This window comes from Homo sapiens, chromosome 1 (genome assembly GCF_000001405.40).
Source record: "Homo sapiens chromosome 1, GRCh38.p14 Primary Assembly".
Classification (NCBI taxonomy): domain Eukaryota; kingdom Metazoa; phylum Chordata; class Mammalia; order Primates; family Hominidae; genus Homo; species Homo sapiens.
In genome coordinates this window covers 144,996,633-145,008,972 of record NC_000001.11, presented here as the reverse complement: position 1 = coordinate 145,008,972, position 12,340 = coordinate 144,996,633, and the positions used below count along the sequence as shown (strand labels likewise).

Here is a 12,340-nt window from a genome sequence, read left to right as displayed (position 1 = left end):
GTCTCGATCTCCTGACCTCGTGGTCCGCCTGCCTTGGCCTCCCAAAGTCCTGGGATTATAGGCGTGAGCCACCGCGCCCAGCTGGACTGTTTTTTTTTTTTGGTGTTTTGTTTTGTTTTTTTAAACTTAACCACTAATAAGTTTCATCTAGTCTGTTTATAATCTTTTTACTAAATATATAACAACATTGCCTTGTGGTGTTTAGATCAGCAACTTCTTTGCTCCAAAGGTACAGTGAATGATGACGGTTGCTGGGCCTCAAAATAAGGAAGACGAAACTAAGAGAACAGGCCACAGGACTCTCCCTGATGTTGAATGGCAGCACCTTAGATTGGGCAACAGTAACATGAGTTGCATACATAGGAAGTGCCCACTGGTTCCTGGGTGTTCTCTGAATTTCTAGTGCTCACGTGAACTGTGGAGGGCAAAGGAGGAGGATACGGAATGTACAGTTTCTTTTACAGCAAGAAGTGAAACTTAGGCCCTTTCTGATTTAATAATAACCCATGAAGAAGGAGCTGAGTGGTTTGAAGACTGTTCTAGTTCTGCCTTTGGTGGCCATGTGGTTTATTCCACAGCTTTTCAAACTGCAGGTTGAGACCTTTTACTAAATCATGAAAGCAAATTAGTGAGCCACAACCAGCATTTAAAAAGTTATAGAAAATATCAGAGTTCATGACTAAGGATAAATGTTGTTTCATGACACTTTTCAGTTGTGTGTGTATGTGTGTGTGCATGTGTGTTGGATTGCCAAAGTTTGAAGCCACTAGTTTTGTTCAATTCCTATCACTTTCTGTACCTTCTTTATCGAAAAGTTAAAGGATCAAAGAACCTATGGGATAGATTTTATGTATTATCAGAAATGTATATAAGTCGGGCACGGTGGGTCATGCCTGTAATCCCAGCACTTTGGGAGGCCAAGGCAGGTGGATCACCAGAGGTCAGGAGTTTGAGACCAGCCTGACCAACATGGTGAAACTTTGTCTCTATACAAAAAAATTGGCCCGGCGTGGTGGCAGGTGCCTGTAATCCCAGCTACTTGGAAGGCTGAGGCAAGAGAATTGCTTGAGGCTGGGAGGCAGAGGTTGCAGTGGGCTGAGATTGCTCTATTGCACTCCAGCCTGGGCAACAGAGCGAGACTCCATCTCAAAAAAAAAAAAAAAAAAAAAAGAAGAAGAAATGTATGTAGTGCTTACAGTATAATGTACCAGGAATTATTCTAATAACTTTACAAATATTAACTCATAAAAACTCTGTGAGGTAGATACTGTTATTAACAAAATTTTACAGAATAGGGACATTCTTGCATAGAGAGATAAGTAATTTGCCCAAGGTCACACATAGCTAGTAGGTGGTGGAGCTGGCATTTTGAGCCCAGGCAGTCCAGTTCCAGGGTCAGAATTTTCTCTGCGGCCTCTCCAGTGGATAGCATCTCTAGATGATGGCATGGACTTTTTCCTGCTATTGCCTTCAAGAAGAAATGGTAAAAAGGTGGTTCCCCCTCTTTCCCAACACATACACCTAAACATTCAGAGTTAAGACAGTGAGAATGAGGATTCTTAATTTGGTGAAGGTGAAGGAATTCGGGGATTCTTTTTGTTAACCAATCAACATTGCCAGCCTAGCACTAAAAGATTCCACTATGACAGACAACCACATGAGGCCGTATCTCAGCATTAGAAACAAATGGATGGGGGAGAGTGGTTAAGAGCACTGATTTTAAGAATTAAACACATCTAGGTTCAAATCCTGTTGTGATCTGTTACTGTCTGAGTGAGCTTAGGCAGTTAACTGATCTCTCTGAACCTCAGTGGTCCCTCGTTGTGAAATGGGAGGAATCGTGGTTGCCTTTTAATGGAGGCTTACTAGGCATCAGGCATGTAGCAAGCACTTTATATTCTCCATCTCTTTTATTCTTCATAACAATCCAGTGGAGTGGCTGCTATTACAAACTCCATTTTGTAGATAATGAAAACAACTTAGAGAGATTAAGTGTCTTGTTCAGGGAGACACAGGTACCAGGTGGCAGAACTACAATTAAAATTCAAGTTTTTCTGAATGCGGTCTATCCTCTTAATCACTCAGCTTTGCTGTGAACTAATCTCCCTGGGGTGTTTTGAGGATTAAGTGAGATACCTTTATACTTGAATAGTGACTCAATAGGAGCCTACTTGGCACATAATAAGCACTTAATGAATGGGATATGTGATTACTAGTAAATATATAAGATGTGTCTGCCTATAACTTTTGTGGGGACAGTTTACCTTTCCATAAAAAAAAACTGTGGTCAACTAAATCAGTTCTTATAACAAACCAGTCACTTCACATGTATATTGAGTTGTTGAAAAATAAATGGTTATCTATTCTGAAGGATCTGCTGGGCAGATTCTTTCATTGGAATAAGTTTTGTCAAGGACGGGACTGTCTACCCAACATCCAGAACAGTACCTGTCACAAGGTAGGTGTCTTAGTCTAGAGTCCTTGAAAATATAAATTAGAGGGAGAGGCAAAAGCGTACACTTCATTTGCAAGAGTCATCCCAGGGAAGCAGGAATGGGGAGAAAGGGAAGGAGGGAGAACATAACAAGAGATTGCTTATAAGTTGACTATAGCTTCATGAGAGGATGATTGCTTGGTCTTGTGGGACATCTTCATGTAACTATGTGAAGCTACTGCATCTCTGAACAGTCCACTGGGGCAAGGAGGGAAAATATTTCATTCGTCAGTTTCTATCTCCTGTAGGTCAAAGTTTGATTCTTGAAGCCTCCACTTCTCTGTACTTGTTGTTGACATGACTGCTGATTGAATAGGTCACTCCAAGTCTCATGCTTCAGTAGCAGGAGAGAAAGCCTGGGTGGGATTGAGAGTCACGCCGCAGGGGTAGAAGGCAATGCACTGTCAGGCTGGTGCATCAACAACATATGAAGGCCCAGGAACAGCCATTGCAATAGGAACTGGGCAGACTGTTTCAGCCAGCAGCAAGGTAGTTGTGTTCATCTGGGGTGGTGCATAAACTGAATCTGGCAGAGCAGGCCCTCAATAATGATAGACTTCTCATTGCCAAGGTTAATGAGCTCTTTGCCTTGCTGTCTTATTTAAATACTCCATAGTTATTGACACTTTTGTACATCTCTCTTCATTCTTAATCTACTTTCCTATCTCTCCTTGCTTTGCTTTCCACCTAAATGGGGATATCCTAAGCCTACATCTTTTTAATTCTACATGCTGTCTATGGACAGCTGCATTCACTTTGCTGGTTAACTTCCTAACTGCCATCTATAATATTTGCTGATGGCTCCCAAGTGTCTATTTCTAGACTTGACCTCTCCTGAGAACAGAAGGAGAATACAACTGCCTTTTCCAGTAGGATGCTTCGTAGGCATTTCACGGGCCAACTGAACTTCTTGGTCTTCTTTAATCATTTTTGTTTGTCCTTCTCACTGGTAACGAATAGGTGCTTGGTCCCTGCTTGTTGAACTAAACTTGAAACAATGTGCCAGTACTTATGCTAAGCTGGGTCCTGCACAAAATGAAGTGAACTCTCCAGAGCCAGCTCTACAGGAACGTAGGGTCTGGATTTTAATATTGATCTGGTTTGTTTTCAACTCGATTGTGTTGGAGCCTTGAGCACATACAGTGTGCCTTTGTCCTCTAAGAGAGTGGACATGTTTGAACTGACATTTGGTCTTTTCAGGAATTGTTTGGTAGGAAATTTCTTGGATTTTTACTCTCCTTGAGCTTTGACTCTTCTTGGGCTGTCCTGCTTTTCAAGACTCTCATTTTGCTTTGTCCAGAGTTTACAGAGCCCTTTAGAACTGTGTTTGTATCTGTTCTGCTCATCAGGCATGCAGGACCCTCTCTGCTGGCCCTGGCCTGCTTATTTACCCCTTCTCTTCATACTCTTCTGTGTGAACCTTCAAGTCACAAGGCTTCTCACAGCCTCCTGAGCTTCATCTGCCCATTTTAGCCTCTTTGACTTTGCTTTGCTAACTACAACCCTTCATCTGTCATCCCCCTCGCTTCTGTTTAAATCCCCCCCTACCCAAGGTCTCAAGAGGTCCATGCTAGATTTTACTGATTTCTTCCTCTCTTAATGTAGTCTGGGACCATTATTTTGGCACTTAGGATGCCAGTCTTATACTCTTAAATATTTTTGCATTTAGTCCTCCTTTTCTCCAATTCAATTGTAAGCTCCTTGAGAGTAAGAGACTGTCTTACATTTTCTTGTGTAAATATCTTACATTTTCATGTGTGTTCCAATGATTCATCACCCAGATCTTCCCACAGAGTTGGTGTTAGATAAATATTTGCTGGGTTTGTTGGTTGATTATCGTGGTCCTTGGGAACTGACTTGCAGCTTGTCACTAGCAATGAATCAGGAGCATCAGACTAGCTGACATTTCCCAGAGGAGCTGCTGGTCTTCACATCCTGCATCTTTAGTTTGTGGTACAAGTTAATTCTAAATTTTGGACCTTGAGAATTCTGTTTCTTAAACATCTCAGGCAAGACCTAGGAGCTAAAATTACTACTTTGGCATTTGATGTGGCAGCTTTTTCATTTGGGATCCTTTTGTCTTTAACTTGCTTTTGAGTCACTTGAAAGAACTAAGGCAGCCTGCCAGAGTAGTCACGATGATATTGAAATATCCCTCTCATTGGCTTTATGAGATTGCCTTCTGTGCATTCACTTGGGGCTGGAAAGTTAATGGATGACTGAACGTCTTTTGGAAACTTGTAGGGCCATTTTTCTTCTTCTCTTTCCCACTAGCTGGTTTCTCTTTGTTACCAAAGGTGCATGCATTGTTTTTAGGTAGTGTGGAGTTAATGTAAGGGGAGGAGTGTTTCTTTCTTTCATAGCTTTGGAATAATCTACCGCACAGGGCAGACAGTTTTGAAGATGGCCATGTTTAAAGTCCATCAGAGAAAACTACAGTCAAAAGGAAAGCCAGGGAGGCCAGAGTTCCAGTCACAACTGCCCCCACTACCCCCTTCCTCCCACCAAGATTACTGTCTTACCTTTGAACCCAAGGATGTCTCTTATGGCTCCAGTTTGCTGACTACTGTGAAGGGAAGGATGGTTTGGAATCATACTATAGAGTCATGGGCTCTAAAGTACGTGTTATTGCTAATGATTGGTGTTGGTATGTGCAGGGATTTTCCACTCATGGAATTCTCCTACTCATTTTGACCTCTCTACCATTCAGCTTGTATTGCTCATTAATGTTCACTCCATTTCTTCATTTAGACAGCATAGGACTCCATCCAGCAGACTTCCTTCACTGTGATCTTGCTTCAACTCCATTTATTACATTCATCATGACACAAACTTTTACCAGCTCCATTTCTGGCTGCTTGAGATCCAAACTACTCTATTGGCCTTTGGAGCTATTCCTCCTCTTGCACCTTTATCTTTGACCAAGCCTCAGTGCCACCTTTTGTTCCAGTAAGGACATCTTCCTCCCTACCCCACAGAGAGGCCACGCTCAAACATTCCTATCTCTTGGTGTACGTTTTCTCTTACTCTGGGATATCCTCTCCTCACCCTTCATTTACTGAAATCCTACTCTTCCTCAGAATACTACTTCAGATTTCTGTTTCCTTCCCTTTCTCTCTCTCTTTCTCCTCTCCTGCCTTCCCTCCACAAACTTGGAGGCCTACTATAATGCTAGGTGTTGTTCTGGGTCCCACAAGTACATTAGTCAACTGAACAGACAAATTTATTCTTTTTTTTTATTTTTATTTTTTGAGATGGAGTCTCTCCCTGTCACCCAGGCTGGAGTGCAATGGTGTGATCTCAGCTCACTGTAACCTCTGCCTCCTGGGTTCAAGCGATTCTCCTGCCTCACCCTCCCAAGTAGCTAGAATTACAGGTGTGTGCCACCATGCCTGGCTAATTTTTTGTATCTTTAGTAGTGATGGGGTTTTACCATGTTGGCCAGGCTAGTCTCAAACTCCTGACCTCGTGATCTGCCTGCCTCGGCCTCACAAAGTGCTGGGATTACAGGTGTGAGCCACTGTGCTCGACCAAATTTCTTCTTTTCAAGAAGTTTAGACTACCTCCAGAAGCCTGACTATAGTAATGGGATTCCCCACTGATCTTCCTGAGCTTTCAACACTTTCATTGTAGTATTTATTCTTAATTTCATGTCCTTATAGTATACAATAACATAATTTCTGTACTATATAATTATATATCTTGTGCAATTATGTAATATGAATTGTTATGTGAAATTTTGAAATGTATATTTGGATCATGTCTTCACAATTAGATTGTAATTTCTTGAGAACAGGGAACTTCATACTTCAGAAATCCTCAGTTTATCCATTACAGCCCCTTTGCAAGGGACCAAAAATCCAAGGCAAAGTGGTTTTTTTGTTTGTTTCTTTTTTATATATCTTTTATTTTATTTATTTTATCTTTTTGAGATGAGGTCTTGCTATGTTGACCAGGCTGGTCTCAAACTTCCGGCTTCAAGCAGTCCTCCCATCTGGGCCTCCCAAAGTGCTAGGATTACAGGTGTGAGCCACCATGCCTGGCCTAGGCAAAGTGTTTTAAGCGAAAATTGAATGAATTGACTTGTGTCACTGAAAGGTCCAGGGATAGGGCTGGCTTCTCATCGTGACTTCATTCAGATACTCATGTTTCCTTCTCCCCATCTCTCAGCTCTGCTTCTCTGGGCCAACTCCATTCTCAAATGGGCTTTCCACTCACGGTAGCAAGATGGCAGTGGCAGTGTCACACTCTCTTTGTCCCCAGGTCTTCCATCTCCCAGCCAAGGCCTGGATTTGAGAAAGCACACTATCTTTGGAGAGGGCAGGGGTGGGATCAGTTTTACTGAAAGCATGTGGACCGAGAGTGGGGAAAACATGGATATAAGGAATGAAAAACAATTATTTCAGAAACATAATAGCTATTTGTTGGTTGGTTGTGCCTTATGTATTTAGTTTTTTGAGACAGGGTGTTGCTCTGTCACCCAGGCTGGAGTATAGTGGCACAATCACGGCTCACTGTGGCCTTGACCTCCTGGGCTCAAGCAAGCCTCCCACCTCAGCCTCCCAAGTAGCTGGGACTAAAGGCATGCACCACCCCCCCAGCTAACTTAAAAAAAAATTTTGTAGAGCTGGGATTTTGCCATGTTGCCCAGGCTCATCTGGAACTCCTGAGCTCTAGTAATCGGCCCACCTTGGCTTCCCAAAGTCCCGGGATTACAGGGGTGAGCCACTGTGCCTGGCCTGTTTTGTGCCTTACTTAATAGAGTAAAGTAATGCAGAAAAAGACTATCAGTCACACTCTTTGAGGAAGAATATTTGCTGTTTCCTAGTTTACTGAAAGTATCTTGATGGCCTTTTCTTGGAAACTGACTACTCATAGGTAAGTAATGTCAGTCACTGAGGATGTGTTATAGCACATATAACACATTGAGGGTGGTGCTGTGTCTCTCTCTCTGCTCTGTGCGCATACTCATTTGTTTATATTATTATTTAACCTTGTTTGTTACTGTTTTTTTCTTCTTTCTTCTCCACTACCCTGCTAACTTTGAGGAAGAACTTTTTGTCTGTATTCCCAGAGCACCCGGAAGGCACTCAAATAGATGTTTGCAATGAGAGTAAGTAAAAGTAGGAAAGGACATTGGGAACTCAGCGACTTGGATTTCAGTCTTGGATCTGCAACTAAATAGCTGTGTGATCTTGGTCAATCCCCTTTGCTGCTCTGAGCTTTGGTTCTCACATCTGTCCAGCAAGGATTTTTGAGTCCTCCCTTTACTAAGTTCATAGAAAGGCAAACTAGCAGAGTAGAGAGCAAGACTTGGCAGGGCATTCTGGTATTTTGTTTCCTGAGGAACAGTTTTGAGAGGGGCTGATTACTGTTGTGATAAGAAGTCTTGGTAAGAGATATGGAGGGTAGCGCCTGAAAGCCTCAATTGTATTCTTATGTAACATTCTCTGGAAAGGTACTAGGAATTAATATTCCTGAGATGGCTGAGGTGACTTCATGTGTTTGTGAAGGGGCTAAAAGCAGGTGAGGCAGATTGGGTGGAAAAAGACTGGCAGTCAGACCAGGTTCCCAATGGGGAGCGCGGGCTGATCTGCTCCACGTGCTGGCAACAGAGCCTGTGGGAGATGCAGCTCCTGCCCCCTGGGTGCTGGCACATCAAGGAGAAAGGAAGGACATGCCTGTGTGACTCTCCTGAAAGATTACATCTGTCTCCTGGCCTGCCCTTCCTCCCCCATTTTCTCCTTAGAAATGTGGTATTCATGACTTAATCAGAGAAAATTCCTGAAGAAGAAGATGAATTTTGAAAGGAGGAAAGAAAGGGATCTCTGGATTGAAAGCAATAGGCTGAACACCCCCACTCCCTCACCCCCTGTACTCTGCTGACTGGTGAATTCCCTGGATGTTCTCTGAAGTGAGGGCAGTTTTCAGAGGACTGTGTCATCTGCATTGGCAGGTGTTGTAATTTGGAGTCTACATGATTGTCAGCGTGGCAGGGCCCTGCCTGTTTTTGTTAAATGATCAGTATCCTATTAGGGCTAGTTTTTCTTCCAGTTGCATGCTTATTGAGACCCTTCAGCATCTTTCTAAAAAGGAAATAAGCCTCTTTCTAAATACTAGGACGAGTATAGTTAGTGTCTCAGCTGTGGCCAAGCATGGGCAAGGAGGCAGCATTTCCCAGGGGAAGCTTCATGGGTGTGTCTGGTGATGCTGGATTTGAATTCACATATAAAAACACTCCCTGGCAGGTCTTTATCTGACATCGTTTGGAAATGGTGATCTGCCAGTGGAGTTCAATGTCATGGCCAAGCCTACGGCCCAGAGGGGCAGCTTCCAAGATTTGCTTTAGGAATAGTCAATGCAGAATGTGTTTAATTCATACACACGGGGAAATGGAAACCAAGAATCCGTTCCTCCTTTTGGCTCCTGTTTGTTGGGTTATTTTCCCCTTCACTGGCAGATGGTGCTCAACAGAATATGCTATGTGGTGGGGTTAAATTTTTTAATCTGTTTTTTTCAGTGAGATATAATTCACATACTGTAAAATTCACTCTTTTAAAGTGTACAATTCAATTTTTTAAACATATTCACAAGGTTGAGCAACAATCATCACTATCTTAATTTCAAAACAGGGAGGTTTAAATTTGTCTTGAATCTCTGCATGAAATATCAACCAGAGGTCAACTCTGATTCTCAGGAACCTTTTAAAAAAATTGGGTTCCTCTTGCAAGGGAAGCTGCAATTTTTATTCAAGTGTCATTTTTAAAAAAACATAATAAGAAAAAATGATAGAGGACATTGGATTTTTCTTAGCCCTGTTATGTGATTTCTTTCCGCTATTGATGATTTTTAAATCTTAGATCTTCAGGTTGGGGCTTATTACCACAGCTTTGTTATAATAAAGAATATTTAAAGCAGAAACAATAAGACTTTTTGTGTTCTCTTGTCCTTTCTCTTCTTTGTCAAGCCATGCCTCTTTAGACAGAGCTTAGACCTGTCTTTTCCTCCTTTGTCACCATCACCTAGCACAGTGCCTCCATACAGGAAAGGCTCAGTAAGATTTGCTGAATAAATGGGCTCTACTGGGCGCTCAGGGGAGGCTGTTTGGATGTATATATCACTCCAGGTGACTCATGGCGACCTTAGTACTTTGGCTTTGTGAATAGCCAGGGAATTCTTTTGTACCCCTAAGATATAGCTGCTTCTAGAAAGTGAGAGCTTGACTTCTTTCCATGTATTTCTAGGGAAGGAACTGGCAAGGACCCCACCATCTCCATAGCTCCCAAGTATTCTCATCCAACTGTAAACCAGATGTGTAAAGTCTTCTTGAGTTGGTATCGTGAAGCATGGTGTAAGTGGTATGAGTGGTGTGAGTCTTTGAGTGTGTACACATGATGTGCACATGCATGATCGCCTAAGCACATGAGGGAACTGTGAGGAGTTCCTCTATGTTTTTAAATTGCCTCTTTCTTCTTTCTGCCCTTTTGTTTGTTGATAGGCCAGGATTCAGAGGGGCCTTCAGCCTGGGCACATGGCCCAGGAGTGCTGGTATTCAGTGGCCCATTGTTTCCTGCCCCTTGTGTGCATGAACGGGGACTGGGGCCAGCATAGCTGCCTTCTTGGGGACCATTGTTTGTCTTTGTAGGAGCAGCAGCAGCAGCGCCTAAGGCAGCACATTTTTCCCTGGATAGAACAACTGTTCTGTCTTGGAGCTGTACGCCTAAGAGTGAGAGTAGTTAGAATTTCCCTTAATGCCTGTATGGATTCTTTGAAGATGGTAACAAGGGAGGCATCTTCTTCTTTCTGCTTCCTTTCTTCTTTTTCCTTCTTCATTCTCTTTCTTCTTTCTTTTTCTCCTCCTTTTCCTTCTCCTTCTCCACCTCCTGTTCTTCCTTCCTTTTCCTTCTTCCTCTTCCTCTTCTTCTTTTTGGCCAGTTGTGAGGGAGGGGAGATGCTCATGGTGTCATATCACAAATAAACCACACTAGCAGGTGGTATCTATTAACAGAGCCTCTTTTTTTTCCTGGATCAGGGGTGGGGATATTGCTTTCTTACTGTCTCTGTCCTCTGGGCTTCCTGGTAGACCTCAGGGTGTACTCACAGGACAAGAAAAGCACTTCCCCCTAAGCTGTCCTGTAGAGTAGATCTAGGAAGTGGGGAAGGGATCCAGTGTGGTTGTGGACAGATTGAAACAGAGCTAGCTGGTGAGTCGGTGGGCAAGTCCAAACTTGTCTTAGGGGCCTGAATCAACCCTCAGCTGGAAAGTGGAAAAGGCGATGTTCCAGGAGTTAAGAGTCATGGTCACTGTGATTTACACAGAGATACTTTCAGAGACTCCAAACTGGTGTTCTATTTCTCTTGTTTTTGTTTCTCTGACCTACTATTAACCTCTTTGACAAGTCAGACAAACCTTAATTTAGCTCCAGCTCCTGTTGCATAATTGTTGACCCTTTGGTAAATTACTTAAAGAGTCTTACTTCAGTTTTCTCCTTAGTGTAATCAGGATAATTGTGGATACCTTACAGACTACCTGTGAGAATTAAATGAGATGATACATAGAAAGGCCTATAAAATGTATTCAATAAACACATGCTCCCATCCCTTCAGGGTTCCAGAGGGAGTACCTGTGATGCAGCATATACTCTGCTGCCCTCATTGAGGCACCTGCAAAATCAGGCTGGAATTCCTTGCTGGCTGGATGTGCTTGGGGGTTTCTTATATTAAATCACATATCTCAGAGGCCTCCTATTAAGTACTTGTTCCTTGGACAGGCTAACTCTGGAGTGGCCTACTTCTGGAACTTCATGGGACTTTGCCTTGTCCTCTCTTTTTTTGGCAGAGGGTGGGTGTCATCCAACTAACTATTCCTTTGTATTCCCCTGGTGAGTGAGATTACTGAGGTAAATTCTTAAGTGCATTACAGGGGACTCAGAGGGACCTGACAGCCTTACTGCCCATCCATATCCCCTGTACATCTGTTACTGATTCAGTACCTGGAAAGCCTTTCCACCCTAAAAACGCCTTGGTTCTTTTTTTTGTTGTTTGTTTGAGACGGAGTCTTGCTCTGTCGCCCAGGCTGGAGTGCAGTGGTGCGATCTCTGCTCAGTGCAAGCTCCACCTCCCGGGTTCACGCCATTCTCGCACCTCAGCCTCCCCAGTAGCTGGGACCACAGGCACCTGCCACCATGCCTGGCTAATTTTTTTTTGTATTTTTAGTAGAGACAGGGTTTCACCATGTTAGCCATGATGGTCTCGATCTCCTGACCTTGTGATCCGCCCGCCTCGGCCTCCCAAAGTGCTGGGATTACAGGCGTGAGCCACCGCGCCTGGCACTTGGTTCTTACTGAACGGATGGAATTTAAGTAATATTAGTAAGCATTCTGAATGCCCTCTCAATGTACAGTCTGCCCACCCAATGTCTATTACTATCAGCTTTTCACTAATATATTGAAGGGGGACAGATGCCTACAGGAATAGTCTCAACAAGGGCTGTTCCCTTTAAGAGACCCAGAAATCCCTGGCAAGAACCAGATGCCTGACATAACCTCTGCAGATCTTTACCCCCAATACCCTTGTAATCAGACTCCGTAAAACACAGAACAAGAGAGCTTTGATGAGTGATGAGGTAGGCAGCTTTTCTGCACAGCCTTCTGTCTGCTTGAAACAATCCTCCGGAGCTCAGTTTCAGTTCAGGTGAGGTTACTGCAGGGCTGGTTGGCATTGGTGGTTGACAGGGAGAGAGATGAGGATGAAGAGGGTGAGAATTGCGCTTACAGATCACCTGAGATCATCTGCAAAGGACATACTGATATTTGTAAAAACAGAAACAAAAATGTAGATGGGGAC

At 43.2% G+C, this 12,340-nt stretch overlaps 1 protein-coding gene across 9 annotated transcripts in view, besides 8 other annotated features; it reads left to right on the top strand.

Annotated features, from left to right (window-relative positions):
• The window catches only part of SRGAP2B (SLIT-ROBO Rho GTPase activating protein 2B), a 208,093-nt gene that overhangs the window by 86,408 nt on the left and 109,345 nt on the right, over positions 1 to 12,340 (top strand). The gene's annotated exons all lie outside the window — the stretch shown is intronic.
• Positions 6,677 to 7,176: an enhancer, noted in NCBI's record as "H3K27ac hESC enhancer chr1:144006805-144007304 (GRCh37/hg19 assembly coordinates)". NCBI's record gives its function as "activates a minimal SCP1, AML or CMV promoter by ChIP-STARR-seq in naive H9 embryonic stem cells {active_cell/tissue: H9 hESC(naive)}" and the evidence as "EXISTENCE:reporter gene assay evidence [ECO:0000049][PMID:30033119]".
• Positions 7,681 to 7,975: a silencer, noted in NCBI's record as "tiled region #15698 duplicate 2; HepG2 Repressive DNase unmatched - State 14:Gen5'". NCBI's record gives its function as "represses a minimal TATA promoter and a strong SV40 promoter by Sharpr-MPRA in HepG2 cells {active_cell/tissue: HepG2}" and the evidence as "EXISTENCE:reporter gene assay evidence [ECO:0000049][PMID:27701403]".
• Positions 8,041 to 8,335: a silencer, noted in NCBI's record as "tiled region #356 duplicate 2; HepG2 Repressive non-DNase unmatched - State 14:Gen5'". NCBI's record gives its function as "represses a minimal TATA promoter and a strong SV40 promoter by Sharpr-MPRA in HepG2 cells {active_cell/tissue: HepG2}" and the evidence as "EXISTENCE:reporter gene assay evidence [ECO:0000049][PMID:27701403]".
• Positions 8,041 to 8,639: a biological region, named in NCBI's record as "H3K4me1 hESC enhancer GRCh37_chr1:144008259-144008767".
• Positions 8,131 to 8,639: an enhancer, noted in NCBI's record as "H3K4me1 hESC enhancer chr1:144008259-144008767 (GRCh37/hg19 assembly coordinates)". NCBI's record gives its function as "activates a minimal SCP1, AML or CMV promoter by ChIP-STARR-seq in primed H9 embryonic stem cells {active_cell/tissue: H9 hESC(primed)}" and the evidence as "EXISTENCE:reporter gene assay evidence [ECO:0000049][PMID:30033119]".
• Positions 9,224 to 10,204: an enhancer, noted in NCBI's record as "H3K27ac-H3K4me1 hESC enhancer chr1:144009352-144010332 (GRCh37/hg19 assembly coordinates)". NCBI's record gives its function as "activates a minimal SCP1, AML or CMV promoter by ChIP-STARR-seq in naive H9 embryonic stem cells {active_cell/tissue: H9 hESC(naive)}" and the evidence as "EXISTENCE:reporter gene assay evidence [ECO:0000049][PMID:30033119]".
• Positions 10,205 to 11,183: an enhancer, noted in NCBI's record as "H3K27ac-H3K4me1 hESC enhancer chr1:144010333-144011311 (GRCh37/hg19 assembly coordinates)". NCBI's record gives its function as "activates a minimal SCP1, AML or CMV promoter by ChIP-STARR-seq in primed H9 embryonic stem cells {active_cell/tissue: H9 hESC(primed)}" and the evidence as "EXISTENCE:reporter gene assay evidence [ECO:0000049][PMID:30033119]".
• Positions 11,719 to 12,219: an enhancer, noted in NCBI's record as "H3K4me1 hESC enhancer chr1:144011847-144012347 (GRCh37/hg19 assembly coordinates)". NCBI's record gives its function as "activates a minimal SCP1, AML or CMV promoter by ChIP-STARR-seq in naive H9 embryonic stem cells {active_cell/tissue: H9 hESC(naive)}" and the evidence as "EXISTENCE:reporter gene assay evidence [ECO:0000049][PMID:30033119]".